At 41.3% G+C, this 17011-nt stretch overlaps 1 protein-coding gene and 1 pseudogene across 5 annotated transcripts in view, besides 2 other annotated features; both read right to left on the reverse strand.

Annotated features, from left to right (window-relative positions):
• Positions 1-14285, reverse strand: part of H2BP2 (H2B histone pseudogene 2) — a 57749-nt pseudogene extending 43464 nt beyond the window's left edge. For all 3 annotated transcript variants that reach the window (NR_160915.1, NR_160913.1, NR_160914.1), the window contains exon 1: positions 13862-14285. The product of NR_160915.1 is annotated as a H2B histone pseudogene 2, transcript variant 3 (transcript). The remainder of the gene's footprint in view (positions 1-13861) is intronic.
• Positions 11166-11801: an enhancer, noted in NCBI's record as "NANOG hESC enhancer chr1:149396107-149396742 (GRCh37/hg19 assembly coordinates)". NCBI's record gives its function as "activates a minimal SCP1, AML or CMV promoter by ChIP-STARR-seq in naive H9 embryonic stem cells {active_cell/tissue: H9 hESC(naive)}" and the evidence as "EXISTENCE:reporter gene assay evidence [ECO:0000049][PMID:30033119]".
• H3-7 (H3.7 histone (putative)) lies at positions 12021-15612 on the reverse strand. Of its 2 annotated transcripts, NM_001355409.3 has the most exons (2): positions 15190-15612; positions 12021-14225 (listed from the first exon to the last, which is right to left on the reverse strand). In NM_001355409.3, the coding sequence occupies exon 1, from the start codon at positions 15599-15601 to the stop codon at positions 15191-15193; it is 411 nt and encodes a 136-aa protein (NP_001342338.1). In that variant the 5' UTR covers positions 15602-15612; the 3' UTR covers positions 12021-14225; position 15190. The 2 variants fall into 2 exon arrangements, with proteins under 2 accessions (NP_001342338.1, NP_001359034.1); NM_001372105.2 differs by lacking the exon at positions 12021-14225 and having other exon boundaries at positions 15145-15612.
• Positions 13944-14444: an enhancer, noted in NCBI's record as "H3K27ac hESC enhancer chr1:149398885-149399385 (GRCh37/hg19 assembly coordinates)". NCBI's record gives its function as "activates a minimal SCP1, AML or CMV promoter by ChIP-STARR-seq in naive H9 embryonic stem cells {active_cell/tissue: H9 hESC(naive)}" and the evidence as "EXISTENCE:reporter gene assay evidence [ECO:0000049][PMID:30033119]".
• Positions 15613-17011: the final 1399 nt, after the last annotated feature.

Genomic DNA, 17011 nt, shown 5'->3' on the forward strand with positions numbered 1-17011 from the left:
TTTGAAAATAATGTAACTTTCCTATTTTGAATATAAGATGGTATAGGCATAATTATAGTTATGATTAATCTTATTAACCGTGTTCTTCAAATTCTCCATATCCTCAATAAGTTTCAGTCAACTAGATCTGTCAATTCCTAAGAAAGGTATATTAAACTTATCACTGTGATTGTTGACTTATATGCACATATGTGTATGTATCCTTGTTAAATGCAAACAATTCATGGTCATTCCTTAATGGAGCACTACCTTTATGAATATGATATACCCTTCTAGTGCCATATATAAATGTATTTTTAAACCGACTTAAAAAAAAAAAAAAAAGAGGAACTTGCTCTGTCACCAGGCCAGAGTGCAAAGGTGCAATCATAGCTCACTGCAGCCTCGACCTCCCAGGCTCAAGCAATCCTCCTGCTTCAGCCTCCTAAGTAACTGGGACTACAGGTGCATGTAACCATGCCTGGCTAATATTTTTACTTTTTGTAGAGACAAGGGTCTTGCTTTGTTGCCCAGGCTGATCTCGAACTCTTGGCTTCAAGTGATCCTCCTGCCTCAGCTTCCCAAAGTGCCAGGATTACATGTGTGACCCACCATGTAAGCCCACATTTTTCTAACTTCTACAGTAATAATATCTATATCCTATTTATTTATAACATAAATCTTACTTAGCTTGTTTTACTTCTCTTCACTCTTGCTTTCCCTACCACCCTTCTACATCACCTGGAATTTGAATTCCAGGTTTTCTTTTTAATTTTCTAGAATCTAAATTCACTTTGTTTAGCAATATCTTTTACCAAATACATGACCACCTTTGCTTCCATTATCTCACATCTTCCCTTATGATCTTTTTAAAATTATTGCTGGAATAGAATTCTGAAAAGTCACCCACACTTAAATGATAGTTTAATTGAATTCAAAATTATTTTCCCTAGATTTTAAAAAATAATGCTTCGTGTCTTCTTATATCCAGTGGAGCCCAAATGAGTTGGATGTAAATTTGACTTCCATTTCTTCATAAGCATTTTCCCTGAATATGTTTAGAAATTTCTCCTTGTTCCCAAATTTTGTCACTGTGAATCTAGGTGAGGGTCCTTCTCATCCTGTATGCTCAGAATTTAATAGGACCTTGCAATCTAAGGATGTATGTATGCATTTAGATCCTGTGAAATATCCTCCTTTTATTCCTTTATTTTCTCATGACTATGGTTGCATACTACACAATAGTAGGTTGTACACTACACATTGGCAAATCTTACTATTCAAATGACAGCCCCTGAAATTGTGCAGTGCACAATCAGCAAATCTTATTTGGTAGATCTGTATTTTATTTCTTACTTGTTCTCAATTCTCCCCTCCTCTCTAACTCCTCATCCTGTTACATGAGTTTGGAACATCTGGATCTATTTTTCATATCATTTAACTTTTCTTTCATCTCTGCATGCATCTTTTTATATGGCTTTGTGGAGGAATTTCTGGCTTATCTTGATCATCATGAGGAGGGAGAAACTCAAACTATGTGTTTCCTGTGCTTTCACACTACAACAATCAACACAGAAGACTGACGGCGGAGCGGGGTTCTCCACACAGCAAGCAAGCAATCAGTTCTGCAGTGGACACCAGCTGAGTGTACTCCAATTCAGTTTTTACACTATTTATCAGGAGATCCCACAGGTTGAGGACTGAGTCTACCAGACTGCCCCCACTTCAAATGACAGTTCCAAGTCTGGGCCTCCAGAACTTCTGACCAACCATTTCCAAGCTGGGGTTCCCATGGCTTCCTCCTTTGCATTGTATTAATTTGCTAGAGCAGTTCATGAAACTCAGAGAAACACTTGGGTTTACTGGTTTATAACAAAAAATACAGATGAAAAGATGCATAAGGCAAAGTATGGGGGAAGGAGCATGGAGCTTCCATGCACCTCCACTGGGTGCGCCACCCTTCAGGAACCTCTACATGTTCAGCTATCCAGAAGCTCTCTAAGCCCTGTCCTTTTGGGTCGTTATGGAGGCTCCATTGCAAAGGAATCACTGATTAAACCATTGGCCATTGGTGATCGGCTTAACCTTCAGCCCCTCTCCCCTCCCCGGAAGTTGGAGGTGGGCTGAAAGTCCCAACTCTCTAATCCTCCCCTTGTTCTTTCTGGTCACCAGCCCCCATCCTGAAGCTACCTAGGGGCTGCCAGACATCAGTCAACTCATTAATAAACAAAACGACATCACACTTTGGTGTTTCTAAGGATTTTAGGAGTTGTATGTCAGGAAATGGGGTTGAAGACCAAATATATATTTCATAATAGCACAATCTTTCAGCTTATTTATTTTCTCTTGGCTTTATCTATCCTGTTCTGGATTTATCCCTTGTTGAATTTTTATGTCAATAATCAAATTTTAAATTTCCAAGATGTGGGAGCGCCCAGTTACTTGGCACATTTTCCTGCCTCCTTGAACCAAATGACCGCACTCACTGCTGGGGTCAAAGATGTCAGTCACCAGCCAGACATGGTGGTTCACACCTGTAAACCCAGAACTTTGGGAGGCCAAGGTCGGTGGATCCCTTGAGCCCAGGAGTTTGAGACTAGCCTGGGCAAAATGGTGAAACCCCATCTCTACAAAAAATACAAAAATTAGCTGGTTGTGGTGGTACCTGCCTGTGGTCCTGACTACTGGGGAGGCTGAGGTGGGAGGAGAGCTTGAGCCCAGGAGGTTGGGGCTGCAGTGAGTTGAGATCGTGCCACTGCACTCCAGCATGGGTACCTGAACTGTCATCCTATCAGTTGCCCCAAGACCAACTTTTGTCTCCTGGTTCCAAAACATGTGGATCATTTTTTGGTCCACTCCTGTCTTCTGCAGAAGTCCTCCTTGGCACTCTTCACTGTTACCCCATCTGCCATCTTTGTCAATTTTTTATCATTTCTAGGAATTTGGGGTGGAATATGAGAAGAAAGCAACATATCTTCAGGACACAATCTTGAATCAGTAGCTATTTTTCACCTGTGCATTAGAGACGGGAAACTTGCAGAGCACTTAACAGGACTTCCCTACGATCACCAACTAGTATTTATTGAATTGTTTATTAGTGGAAACATTAAGCAATTATCCTTCATAAAAACATTATGAAGTAAGCATTACTATAGTCCCAGTTTTAAGATGAGAAAACACAGATTAAAAACATCCTAAAGAGCAGAGCCAAGTTACACTCCAGGTGGTCCGTCTCAGAAGCCTGAACTCTTTACTAATACACTATACGATGGCATATCCGGGTGATTTTGGGAACACATTATACTTCTACCCTGCCAGGAGGGCCAAATGTATTTACTTTGTCATCTCTGTGCTGTAAGGGGCCACATTTCTACCCATCAACTCAATCTACATTACTCAAGCATGCTTGTAATTCATATGTTATTTCCTCATGCCAGGAAGAACAGTCACAGTTCTGTTTCACTATGCTTTTATCTTTGAGACTCAAATTCCCCCCTCCCCACTATAAATTATTTGCACATACTAGTCTAGAAAAATTTAATATGCCACTTTCCCCCACAAACACATCTCCACAATCATAAACATCATGAAATAAACTTCTCTTAGACAAATGAAAAAGTTTCTTACCTTTTTCTCCAGGCTAAGGATCAAAATTCAAGTTTTACTTGGTTAACTCTCCTGCTAATCTGAAAACTGTCTTCTTCTCTATAGATGCTTGCTGTTTCAGGGGGGCAGGCGGGAGTTATTTAAGAATAATTTCCATTACCTAATACCTTGATACTAATGTGAAAAAAATTATGAAAATCAGAGGTCAACACTTAAAAAGATCCACGAAAAATCTCCTACAAAGACACTTAAATAAGTAAAATCATCAAATTTTCATAATGTAACAGGGAGAAGATTGAAGAAACCAAAAAAAGCAAGTATGTTCCTTTGCTGGAACTAATTCTATGGCTAATATATATACAAGTTAATCAGCATACCTTTCTCCTGCTCATTATTCTACATATAATATGGGTCTTAAGTAAGTAAACATTCCAAACTAGATGAAATACAGTTCCAGAGAGAAATTATAAGTAGTTTAAGACTTAACCCTTTGTATTAGTCAGAGTTCTCCAGAGGGACAAAACTAATAGGGGAGACATATATCTATAGATATAGATAGATGATAATAGATTAGATATAGATATATTAAAAGGAGTTTATTAAGGAGAATTGGCTCACATGATTACAAGGCAAAGTCCTACAGTGGGCCGTCTGCAAGCTGAGGAAGAAAGAAGCCAGTAGTGGTTCAGTCTGAGTCCAAAAGCCTCAAGAGTAGGAAAGCCCATAGTGCAGCCTTCAGTCTGTGGCCTAAGGCCCAAAAGCCCCAGGCAAGCCACTGGTGTTAAGTCCAAGAGTCCAAAGGCCAAAGAACCTGGAGTCTGATGTCCAAAGGCAGGAGGAATGGATGGAGGCATCCAGCACAGGAGAGGGATGAAAGCCAGAACTCTGCAAGCCAGCTTAGCCCGCCCACCTTCTCTCTCCTGTTTTGTTGTAGCTACCCTGGCAGCCGACTGGATGGTGTCAACCCCCATTGAGGGTGAGTCTTCCTCTCCTAGTCCACTGACTCAAATGTTAATCTCCTCTGGCAACACCCTCACAGACACACCCAGAAACAATACTTAGCTATCTAGGCATCCTTTAATCCTATCAAGTTGACACCTAATATTAACCATCACACCTTAGGATTTAGAATTTTCTTAAGAACACTGAATGACCCTTGCCCAGGATCGTATCTGTGCTGTGTCTGAAGTCTTAGACTCCCTCCTGGCCTAAAGAATTTTCCTTCAATGCAATGAAAAATGATAATCCCACAAACTAGAAACCAAGACTTGTGCAAAATCAAAACATTGCAAAGGTGGGTGTGGGGAAATCAAGCTATTATCTTTAGGTATATTCTATTCCTAGGTGTTTAAAACACTAATATTAAAAAGTGATATGGAGCTTCACCTACCCTCTGGCAATTTGCAGTTATTGTCCTTTGATCATGTAAAGCAACTGAGATCATTTGCTCCTGACTTCACTTCACTAATCTATATCCTTCATTTTTTGCTCCAAGTGTTCCTTCTTCTGAGTGCCTAGTGCTGCTCCAGTACCTAGATATCTCTCTCTCCCCCTCTCTTTCTGTCTCAATATCCAATCAATCCCAAGCTGTATTACCTCTTTACCAACTTTGGGAAAGTGGACCAGTATTCAGGCTTGGATAAGCCAAGGAAAAATACTAAGGAACTGCTTAAAGCTCTAGTAGTTCTTCTACTTTGCTGTTTCTGGCTTTGGCCATCTAAAGCAAAGTTCCTTGGATTGGTTGACAGTGAGATAGTCTCTAGATTCTTGTGTCTCTTTTTAGTAGGGCCACCTAAGATGTATCATCCATTGTGTAATGAGTTCTTGACCAAAGAAAAGAAATCTTAAGGTCTTCCGACTCTGTCATCTTTCTTGTTTGCCACTCTTTGGACTGTAATTTGAAGAGAAAAAACCTTGTTTTCTTGTGAAAATTTTGGATGCTGAGTAGTTGACAACAACAGTAACTTCAGCTAGAAAATGCTGGAAACAATTTAATACGCAGAAATGATTAACTCCGAAATCATCAACATGACTCCACCAGCCCCATTTTTAAATTTCTATTTAAACATTTCCCAAATTATTTGCACATTCTTCTTTTGGCTGTAAGTCTTGTTTTTCTCTATGCTAGCTAATAGTTTTCTAGATAATTTCTATTCCCTTGACTTGTTCTTATGTTAAATCCTCAAAATTAAGAGCTTTCAACTCAAAAATCAGAAATAGGAAAGAAGTGTTTAATGAAATGATTTCACTTTTTTCTGAAAGTATTGACATGAAGTATTAAAAGCATCATCTGATAGAAAAAGAAGGTACTTGCCAAATGTTATATCGGCCTTTATAGAGCACTAGTAACAGACACTATAAAGTCTTTTGTTTCCTAATTTATTATTTTCCTAATGGGCCACATAGCAGACACTGAAGGTTCTACGTAACAAAGGTCCTACAAGTAAATTGTGAAAATCCCTTATTGGATGGTGTTTTTAGAATACAGAAGGTCCTATTTCCTTAATGCAAGGTGCTTAGGGAAGTCACTCTCAAGTCACTAGAAATCTATTAAAGCACCACTTGCTGGAAAATGGAATGTGCTCTGGAAGTACAATGGTGCTCTTGCTAGCGCCTTCCTAACCATAACAATAATAAGAACAACACTGATCAAATATTTACCATGTTCCAGCCACTGTACTAAGTGCTTTGGGTACATTACCTCATTTAATCTTCATATCAAGCCTAGAAGGTAGTTTCCATTATTTTTTCCACCTTACAGGGGAATAACTTGAGGATCAATTTGCTGTAAGGAAGTTTATTTATCACAACAAGTAAAGAAAGTTTTCCAAGGTCATACAGTCCTTACGTGGGGAAGCTATACTCAAAGCTGATGTTCATCGCCACTACAGGCTAGTGCCTTCTCAGCAAGAACTACTCTTACAGTGCTAAGAGGAGAAATGGGCAAGGTGGTAAGAGCCAGAATATCTGTTGTTGATATTACAGATACAGCTCTGAACTTAAGACCCTAAAAATGATCTCCAACCTCAGTTGCCTCTGAGAGCCTTCAGCATGATATGTGATCATGTGAGAGCCACGTTATGTGTATTCTTTTTACCACCTCTTCTGTATTCATCTGGAGATAGTTCTCTTTTCTGTTTTTTCTAGAGGAAAAAAACAACGACAAAAAAACAGGGAGATCTTAGCAGAACCAAAGCAGATTAGATATTAGCCTTGAAAATGGTGACAGCAATCAGTGATATTGAACCTGAAATAATTTAAATAATTATCGGGGACTTACCAGAGCTAAGTTCGTGGACCACTGGGATTTCTCTTATTTGGGTCTCATAGTCTTCCATAAAGTGATGGGACTATAATTGTCCATCTTCAAGTATCCTTCTATGACTCATGTATAATCCCTTGACTCTTTTAGGAGATTCCTGGCAGTTAATGTCAATACTGCCCTTCATAATGCTTCTGAGTTAGCTTAGGTAAGGTCCTTAAATACCCAATGACTTATACTCTGAGGCTTCTAAACTGGTATGTGGAACTCGGTGGTTGCAACTTCACCCAAATCCTCATTCTGTGTTGTGCTGTCCCTAATTTAGAGGGCAAAAGATTTCAAACTCAATCATTTCTTGTTAAATTCAACTCTTGGAGCTCCACCTGTCATAAACACAATCGCATTTCCCATGTACTCAATTACTTCTGTTTCTCGAATCCATCATTCATCCCATAGATATTGAGTGCCTAATGTATTCCAGATATAGTTCTACATAATAAGGATAGAGCAGTGTATGAAACAAAGCACCTACCTTCATAGGACTTATTCTGAGGAGGTAGGAGGGGAGACAAATGATATAATAACTTAGACTATATCTGAGTAATACAACAAATAAGTCTTTAAAAACAGTGGCTTGAATAAGATACAAGTTTATTTATCTTTCATGTAACAGTCCAGGGCTAACAGAGCAGTTCTGCCATCCTCATCACAGGGCTTCTGCCTCTGGGTCCAAAGTAGTTGCCCCAATTCCTGCCATCACATCTGCACCCCAGCCAGTGGAGAGGGTAAGAGGGCAAGGGTAACACATACATATTCTTTTTTAGGGCACAAACTAGAAATAATACATGCAACTTCCATTCACATCTCATTGGCCCCAAACTTTGGACAAACCCAGATGCAAGAGAAGCTGGTAAATTAGCCTTTAATTGAGAAGCCAAGCGCCCAGAAAGCAGGGAGTTAGAGTATACAAGGAAAGATCATTTTTATGGATATCAGTCTCATTCAGAAATAAACAAATAAATAAATACATTAGTATTCAGATGGTATATGGAGAAAAATTAAGAAAATTATGAGAGGCCGGGCGCACTGGCTCACACCTATAATCCCAGCACTTTGGGAGGCCGAGGTGGGTGGATCACAAGGTCAGGAGATCGAGACCATCCTAACACAGTGAAACCCCATCTCTACTAAAAATACAAAAAATTAGCTGGGTGTGGTGGCACTTGCCTGTAGTCCCAGCTACTCGGGAGGCTGAGGCAGGAGAATCGCTTGAACCCGGGAGGTGGAGGTTGCAGTGAGCCGAGATTGCACCACTGCACTCCAGCCTGGACAACAGAGCGAGACGCGAGACTCCGTCCCCCCCCCAAAAAAAAAGTTACGAGATAAGGAATACCAAGAAGTGAGGAAAGGAAAGGAGGGGAGCTTGTTATCTTACCTAAGATGTTCAGGGAAGACCTCAATGACAGTTGGTAAAGTAACTTCTGAGCAAAAGCTTACAAGAAATTAGGAAGCCAGTCATGCAAATATCTAGGGATGAGCCTTTGAGAAAAGGAAATAGCAAGTGAAAACATCCTGAGATAGAAGGGCCTTGATGTATTCAAGGAAGTACAAGGAGAAAATTATGATGAAATGGAGCAAAACAGGTAAGAGAGAGGGTCAGAGAAGTGAATGTGGGCCTTGATGCTGAAGCCATTGGAGGGTTTTCTGTTGAGGAGGAGTATGGGAATGATATGATCTGACTTATGTTTCAAAAAGTGTACTCTAGCTGCTTTGTGGGAAATATAGGAGGGAGAGAGCAGAATCAAGGAGGCCATTTAAAATGCCATTGCAAATATCCAAGAGAGGTGGAAGCTTGGAGCAGGGAAACAGTGGTGGAGGTGGTGAGATGTGGTTGGATGCTGGACATATTTTGAGCCAAGAGGATTTTCTGATAAATTGCATTTGGAAAATAAGAAAAAGCTTATTCACTCACCACTCTAACAGTCACACCAGTCTATAATCCCAGCACTTTGGGAAGCCAAGGCAGGTGGATCAATTGAATCCAGGAGTTCAAGACCAACCTGAGCAACATAGTGAGACCCCATCTCTACAAAAAAAAAAACTCTAAAAATTAGCCAAGCATGTGGCATGCACCTGTAGTCCCAGCTACTCAGGAGGCTGAGGTGGGATGATCACTTGAGCCTGGGAGGTCAAGGCTGCAATGAACTGTAATCATGCCACTGCACTCCAGACTGGGTGACAGAGCAAGACCCTGTCTGGGAAAAGAAAAAGGCATGGCGGGGGGTGGGGGGGCGGGTGTGGTGTTTCACACCTGTAATCCCAGCACTTTGGGAGGCCGAGGCAGGCAGATCACCTGAGGTTGGGAGTTCGAGACCAGCCTGGCCAACATGGTGTAACCCCATTTCTACAAAAATACAAAATTAGCTGGGCATGATGGCTGGCATCTGTAATCCCAGCTACTCGGGGGGCTGAGGCAGGAGAATCGCTTGAACCCGAGAGGCAAAGGATGCAGTGAGCCGAGATTGTGCCACTGCACTCCAGCCTAGGTGACAGAGCAAGACTCCATCTCGAAAGAAAGAAAAAGAAAGAAAGAGAGAGAGAGAAAGAGAGAAAAGAAAGAATAATCACACCCCAAGAACATCAAGCTAGGACCATGGTGAACAATGCTCCAAGAGTGTTCTGATGCTGTAAACTGAGTGTGATGTGCATAAATTGTTTTGCACTCTGCAGGTAGGAGGGTGGGATAGCCAAAGCTGTTCAATATAATAATATTAAAAAATAAAATCTCAATTGAAGTAAAATACAAATTTTCTTAAGCAATATTTTAAAGTAAATGGAAATGTTACAACCTGGATGAGGGGTGAGGAATTAATAACCTCTAATCACAGAATAAAAATGGAATGAGAATTCCATCTACCCAAATCAGACAATTAAAAAGTCGAAAGAGGTTACAGTAAAAATTGGGTAAAACTAAAACTTAAAAAATAATTTCAGAGGATACATGATATACTCGTCACACAGAAAACTCCAGTTGAACCTTATGGACTTGAGGAATGGATACCTTTGTTTCTCCATCACTTAGCACAGTAGCTGGCACCATGTCAGTTCTCACAGAATTTTCCTGAACTCTCCAACCAGAGGCAACCTTTCACTCTCCATTCACATAACATTTCCTTCTTTCTCTTCTTTTGGGAATAACGTATCTTGCTTGAATTATATTTATCTTTATGCCAGTTTAATTCTCTCTTTTAGATTCATTTACATCTTTGTATCCTCTAGCTCATTATTTTTTCAAAATAAAATGGATTAACATAAACAATTATTAAAGAGATAAACTAAAGGAAAATATTACAACCTGGCTGAGGGGCAAAAATTATATGTTCAACATATATTTGATAACACATACTGAGAAAACACGGTCTACTTTTACTTTTCAGAAGTTTGTTCATGTTGACATTGTGGGGCCTAGAAGATTTTTATCAAGTTTTCTATTTTTGCCAAGTCATATGATCTGCTATAGTTCAGCTATAGTTAACCAAATGTAGAAAAGAAAAAAATTTTCCATAATATCTAGTAATTCTCCAAAACAAGCTTGTTCCTTGTTATAAACACTGACATTCTTTGATAACTCTCACTTTATCCCACAGAGGTCATGTACTTATTTCCCATCTGTTGTCCTATGCTTACATTCCAAATTCAGTTGCATTGACTTTTAGAACAGCTTTAGGAACTGCACCCAGTTTTAAAATACATTATTTGTCTAAAAATTATGACATGAGATTAAACTGTCATCTTTGTAGGTTTCTACACATACTCCAACTCATTCACCAATCCTTGAAAAGATTATGTAACCAATCTCAATGCCCTGACCCAGGCCAAGCCCATTTCTACATGTGCAGTGTTCTCTGGATCTGATATTTAAAGCCCCTTATCCTGATACTACACACCTTTTGTCTTCTGGAATGCACCTCTCTTCTCATCCTTTTTCAAGGCACTAGAAAAGCAGACCATTTCTGCAGCACCTCAAACCAGGGTGAGAAAGCTCCACTCTAATCTCATCATTTTAGCTACATAGATACATCGGCTCAAGGGAAGATGCCAAGTGTAGTACTTTACCACTCTGAGGATTTTTGAATCTATAACAGTTGTTTCAACTGGGCCAATAATTATGAAGGGCAATAATTAAAAAGAGTATCCATAGTAAAGGAGTAAGAAAAAAAGTTAGAAAAAAAGTAGAGAAAAATATTTACTAGAGTATTTACTAGAACCCACCACTCTCAGATCAATTTTCTAGTGTTCTGTTGACTGGCAACCAGTCAACAAACTTTCATTGAGAAGCTATTTTATAGTAGGCATTGGGATAGCCTTTGTGGAATAAATACCGAGAAGCATATGTCTCTAGCAGAAGACAGACAAGAAAATGTAAAAACAAGAAAAAGAAATTGAGGAATAAGCCTACAGTTTACAAAGCTACACAATTATTCGTTATGCAAGGAATGAGGACTTAAGAGAAAGACTTCCCTGTGAACTACAATGAGATGAAAAAGCTTCTCAGAGTGAGATTTGAGCAAGAGTTTAAAAGAACTGACAGACTGATAAAAAGCTTCAAGTAGTCCAGAGGACTGAGTACTAAAACTCAGAACAATGTAACAAAAGCACAGAAGACAAAGTTAAGATGCTTTACATGACAGTAGAACATTTAGGCTAAGCTGGAGGACTGGGGAGAACAAGTGAAGAAGGTAAGTTTTGGCTAGATAATAGGTGGCCTTTAGTGTCAGGATGAGGATTTGGAAGTTAATCTTTTGGTCAGTGGGTAATAAATGATGGCATTTGTGTAGTTGAGCCAGTTGACAATGCTTTAACAACTTCAAAAGGCCCTGAAAAACATGGTCCCTAATCCTTAAGAAAAAAGGAACTCCTGACTTCAGGACCCTAAGCTAGGAGGAGATTGGAAAAATTCTCTTATGGCCCAACTGTATAGAAAATAGACCACCTCGGCCGTCTCACTTACTGAGTAACCTTTCCTACCAGAGAATGTGCTATATATGATTTCTTTACTTTCAACGGAAATTTTGGATTCTCAGTTATCTTTCCCTGACCTCTTGTCTGGTGATCAGAAAAAGATGACTAAACTGGGAATCTTTATTTTCTAGTGGAAAAATAATCACGTATACCACATTTTATATCTTTTAATTGGGTGTAAATTTGAACTTCAACATCATAAAAATTAGTAAAATTCATTTTAAGCACAAAGTTGTTAATTCCCCCAAGATTTATCAAGAATGGCTTAATTTCAAAGGCTGTCAAGTTAATTATAAGCTAAGATTTTCCAGTTGCACCAAGGGTATATTTTATTTGGCAAAAGAAACATCCACTGGCTTTTGTCAGGATGAGTCTTGAGTTATTCAAGTTTTGAACTGAGAGGTCTTCAGAAATTCACCCCACATATTAACTGTGGCCTTCTCTACACCACAAATTCCCCTCCACTCATCCTCAAATTGTTTCCTTTCTCAGAACATCTGTGACACAAAGACTGTGACACACCCACAGGTCGATTAACATGAGGACCCAACACCTATTAAAACATCCACACTCCTGAGAACACTAAAAACCAACCACCTCGTCAGGTCCCACCTCCAGTCTCGCTGAATCAGGAAACCTCAAGAGAAGCACCTGGAAGCAGGTTTAACAAGCGCAAGGCCGGGCGCGGTGGCTCACGCCTGTAATCCCAGCACTTTGGGAGGCCGAGGCGGGCGGATCACGAGGTCAGGAGATCGAGACCATCCCGGCTAAAACGGTGAAACCCCGTCTCTACTAAAAATACAAAAAATTAGCCGGGCGTAGTGGCGGACGCCTGTAGTCCCAGCTACTTGGGAGGCTGAGGCAGGAGAATGGCGTGAACCCGGGAGGCGGAGCTTGCAGTGAGCCGAGATCCCGCCAGTGCACTCCGGCCTGGGCGACAGAGCGAGACTCCGTCTCAAAAAAAAAAAAAAAAACAAGCGCAAAGGTGACTCTTATAATTGGGAAAGTTTGGAACCAAGACAGGGTTCTTGTCCTGGAGGAAGTATTTTCCTGTGGAGAAGGACCTGTAAACAGCCTATGAAGTGCTCAGCTTTCACCAAGAAAAACATGGGCTGATAGGGTTAAGGAAAAGTTTGACTGAAGAGGATTAAATCCTGAAGGTTAGGGATGTCTTTGGGCGCTGGGGTCTCTCAATCACCAAAGATAGACATTACAGGCCAGGTAGCTCTTTGTCCCCCCAGAGGACTGTCCTGTGCCTTATGCTTAGCACTCCTGGCCTCTGCCCATTGGATACTTCTAGCACCTCCCCCCCAACACACACACACCTGACAACCCAAAACATCTACAGATATTGCCAAATACTCCACAGGGGGTGGGGTGGTGGCAATATATCTCCCTGTTTGAAGTCACTGGAATGGAAGTTAGGGGAGGATGGCTAAGTCAGGACTTGCAAAAAGGCTAAGGGACGAAAGCACATGGCTATATTAGACAAAGTTTGTGACAGACGCCTGTAGGTATATGGTAAGGAAAACAGATTAAAACACTAAGAAATAGTAAGAGGTTGGACCGAGGGTTTCTCATCTGTATGGGAAATCTCATCTCGTTCATTACTTTCAGAAACAAAAAGGAAAACGACTTTAAAGATACAGGTTAAAGGCTGAAGGGGTGTAGAACCACCCCCCGCCTCCTTCCCTCCATCCCTCCCAAATATCCCAGAACGAGTCAAACCTTTCTAATCTCGTAGCACAGATAACAAGCAACTCAGTAAGACTAGACGGGGATGACTGAGGGCCAACTCATTACAGGACTACAGGAAACTCCTTAGTCCTAAACCCGAATGCATCCGTGACCATGGTAACACTCCCTACCTGACCAAAAGCTATCAAACGCTCTGACAAGTGTTTACAGCTGCTTTCTCGATTACTGAAGTGGCTCTGAAAAGAGCCTTTGGGGTTAGGTGGTTGATCTATTGCGTCCCTTGCACACTCTTACTTCGAGCTGGTGTACTTGGTGACCGCCTTGGTGCCCTCGGACACGGCGTGCTTGGCCAGCTCGCCGGGCAGCAGCAGGCGCACGGCCGTCTGGATCTCGCGGGACGTGATGGTGGAGCGCTTGTTGTAGTGCGCCAGGCGGGACGCCTCTCCCGCGATGCGCTCGAAGATGTCGTTGACGAAGGAGTTCATGATGCCCATGGTCTTGGACGAGATGCCGGTGTCGGGGTGGACCTGCTTCAGCACCTCCTACACGTAAACGGAGTAGCTCTCCTTGCGGCTGCGCTTGCGCTTCTCGCCGTCCTTCTTCTGCACTTTCGTAACAGCCTTTTTGGAGCCCTTCTTGGGAGCAGGAGCGGATTTCGCTGGATCCGGCATTTTTGCGCGAAAAAAGAGAACAGAGACTTAAAGAAGTAATCCGAACTACCGCAAAACGGGCTGGTTATGCGCTACTTATAGAGCCTGTATGCAAATGAAGACTCGCAAAGTGCTGCGCTTTAATTGGTTAACTTACAACGGTGTCGTCAGAGGGGGTGGAGTCTATGTAAATAATAGATTCTAGTCTTGCTTCCTTAATGGTCACTGTAACAAAAGTCTTGTTATCCAATCAGAATGGTCCATTTCACACTAACCAGTTTTAAGCTAGGTGAAGCGATAGTTTCAACGGCTTGAGGTTTTTTTCTTGGTTTTCACTTTCCATTAGACTTGCATACGGAAGAAATCTTAACGCCAGCTAGACAAGTTAACTCTCTTGCCTCGTTTTTGCATTTTTATTCTATACTTTGTGGAAATTTTTTTCTCTTCCTTGAAATACTACCTCACCCACACATTTTTAAAAATCGCCAGATATTTACTCCCGCCCGCTTAAATTACTATTCTGGCTTGGACACCGCCTGTAGTATGCAATGAGGAAGATGCTGAGCTTTAATTAAGCTTATAGTTCCTAAATAAACCAGGAAACGAGTTTATAATTTTTAAGGGACTCGCCCCACCCTTACACTCAGGATCTTCCACATCTAGAAACTCCCCATAGTCTCTTGCCCCCATGCAAAACTTTACCCACAGAATTGGGAGCCGGACCTCTAGCCTTAAACCAGCGTGAAAAGGCTCGGCCGGAACCACAAGGACCATGCCTCTGCGGCTTTCTCTACTGCCGGCCAACTCACGGCTGGGCTTTGGGTTCTGTAACGTCACCCACCACGAGTGCCCCTGGCCCCTGACCGCTGCGCAAGGCAGACGCACATCAGATGGAGAGCCGGTACAGCTGCTCTTGATGAAAACGGCAGTGGCTCTGAAAAGAGCCTTTAGATCGACCACTTAAAAATATACCTTAGGCCCGCTCCCCGCGGATGCGGCTGACCAACTGGATGTCCTTGGGCATGATGGTCACGCGCTTGGCATGGATGGCGCACAGGTTCGTGTCTTCGAACAGCCCCACCAGGTAGGCCTCTCTGGCCTCCTGCAGCGCCATCACGGCCGAGCTCTGGAAGCGCAGGTCCGTCTTAAACTCCTGCGCGATCTCGCGTACCAGCCGCTGGAAGGGCAGCTTGCGGATCAGCAGCTCCGTAGACTTCTGATAGCGCCGGATCTCCCGCAGAGCCACGGTGCCGGGCCGGTAGCGGTGCGGCTTCTTCACCCCGCCCGTGGCCGGCGCGCTCTTGCGGGCCGCTTTGGTAGCCAGCTGCTTCCTCGGGGCCTTGCCGCCGGTCGACTTGCGGGCAGTCTGCTTAGTACGGGCCATGCTGTCTCATTGATACGAGAGGGTCTAGGCAGTCGTATTTATAGACATAGCCTCCTCTTGATTGGGCCTGAAAAGGAAATTTTCAAACTTGTGATCTCATTGGTTAAAATTCAGTCCTCTTTACTGGGGCGGAAGATTGTTCTGCTAATCTTTCTTCCCTTATTATTTCCCCCTTTCCTGATTTTTTTCTGTAATTTTATCGATCACGGATTGCTTTTGAAGACTTTCCTTTAAATTAGTCTAACTTTTGTAAAAGCAATGTATAAAGTGTTTTGCATCCCATTTTAACAGAGATTTTTTTTTTTCCCCGAATTCAAGCATGCCCTTCTATGAGCTATCAGCCTGTTTCAGGTTACCTGTTACTGAAGCTCTTCTACCATAGCTAACATTTATTTCATGTCTAGCATTTTGCTCAGCAAGTTAGATGCATTGTATACCATGAATGACCGAAGCTTAGCAAAAAAATATGTAATTGAAGGAATGAAAAAATTGATCTTATTTACTTGACCTTGGAACCCAGCCAAAGCCATTTCATGTGGGTAGTGTGCTGACCTATATTGACCTGATATTAGAGCCTCTGCCTTCCTTTAGTCTTTTCTCCCTGCGATGTGGTTCCTTCTTCCTCACCCTCACATCAATGGCCAATTAGGTCCTGCAGATGTTAAGCTTCTAAATCAAAGAAGGACAACACCAGAAATTCATTTCTCCTTTACAATGTAGAATAGTTTGTAAATTAGTGCTAATTAGCCAGATTACAAGTTAAAGTTTCAAAGCAAATTATTCATCAATTGCTGACTTGCTAACATTTTATTCAATAAAGTATTTTATAATGCTTAAAAGTTTAATATTTTTTTCTGTTCTCTATGAAGAGAGTAAAGATGCTTTGCTTTTTCAATTTCATGTGCTTTGAAGTATGTATTGTTCAGAACAGTAAATATAGTGGTTATGTAGAAGCAACTGATACTTAAAAGTTGTAGTAGTTAATATAAAACTTTTAATCATATGCTTATTTTACTAAAAAAATCATTACAAACTATAAAAACTCAAACCTGAGAAAAGCAGGCCCGAAACGCTTAAAACTTACTTTGATGGTGTCATTATGAACTATCTTCCTACTGAAGTCAAAGTAAAGTAAAAGTGATTTCAAGGGGACTTCCTGAACACTAAACACAAAGTAGAAATCTGTGAGCTTAATTAATATCTTCAAGAGTCTCTCATGGGCAGAAGCATCCTCCTCTCGAGAGATCTAAAATGTACAAAAGTGTAACTGATGTGAACAAATGTTATCCCTCTCTGTGGTAGTTTTGTAATAATGCCTTACAGACAGCAGGCACTACTCAGTGTTTAAAGTTCTTCTACATACACTTTATCATTTAATCCCTACTCTGTGAAATAGATCTTACTCTTCTC

This window comes from Homo sapiens, chromosome 1 (assembly GCF_000001405.40).
Source record: "Homo sapiens chromosome 1, GRCh38.p14 Primary Assembly".
Taxonomy (NCBI): domain Eukaryota; kingdom Metazoa; phylum Chordata; class Mammalia; order Primates; family Hominidae; genus Homo; species Homo sapiens.

Excerpts from the sequence above, each read along its gene's own strand:
- H3-7 (NM_001355409.3), bottom strand. The coding sequence starts at position 15,601 with ATGGCCCGTACTAAGCAGACTGCCCGCAAGTCGACCGGCGGCAAGGCC.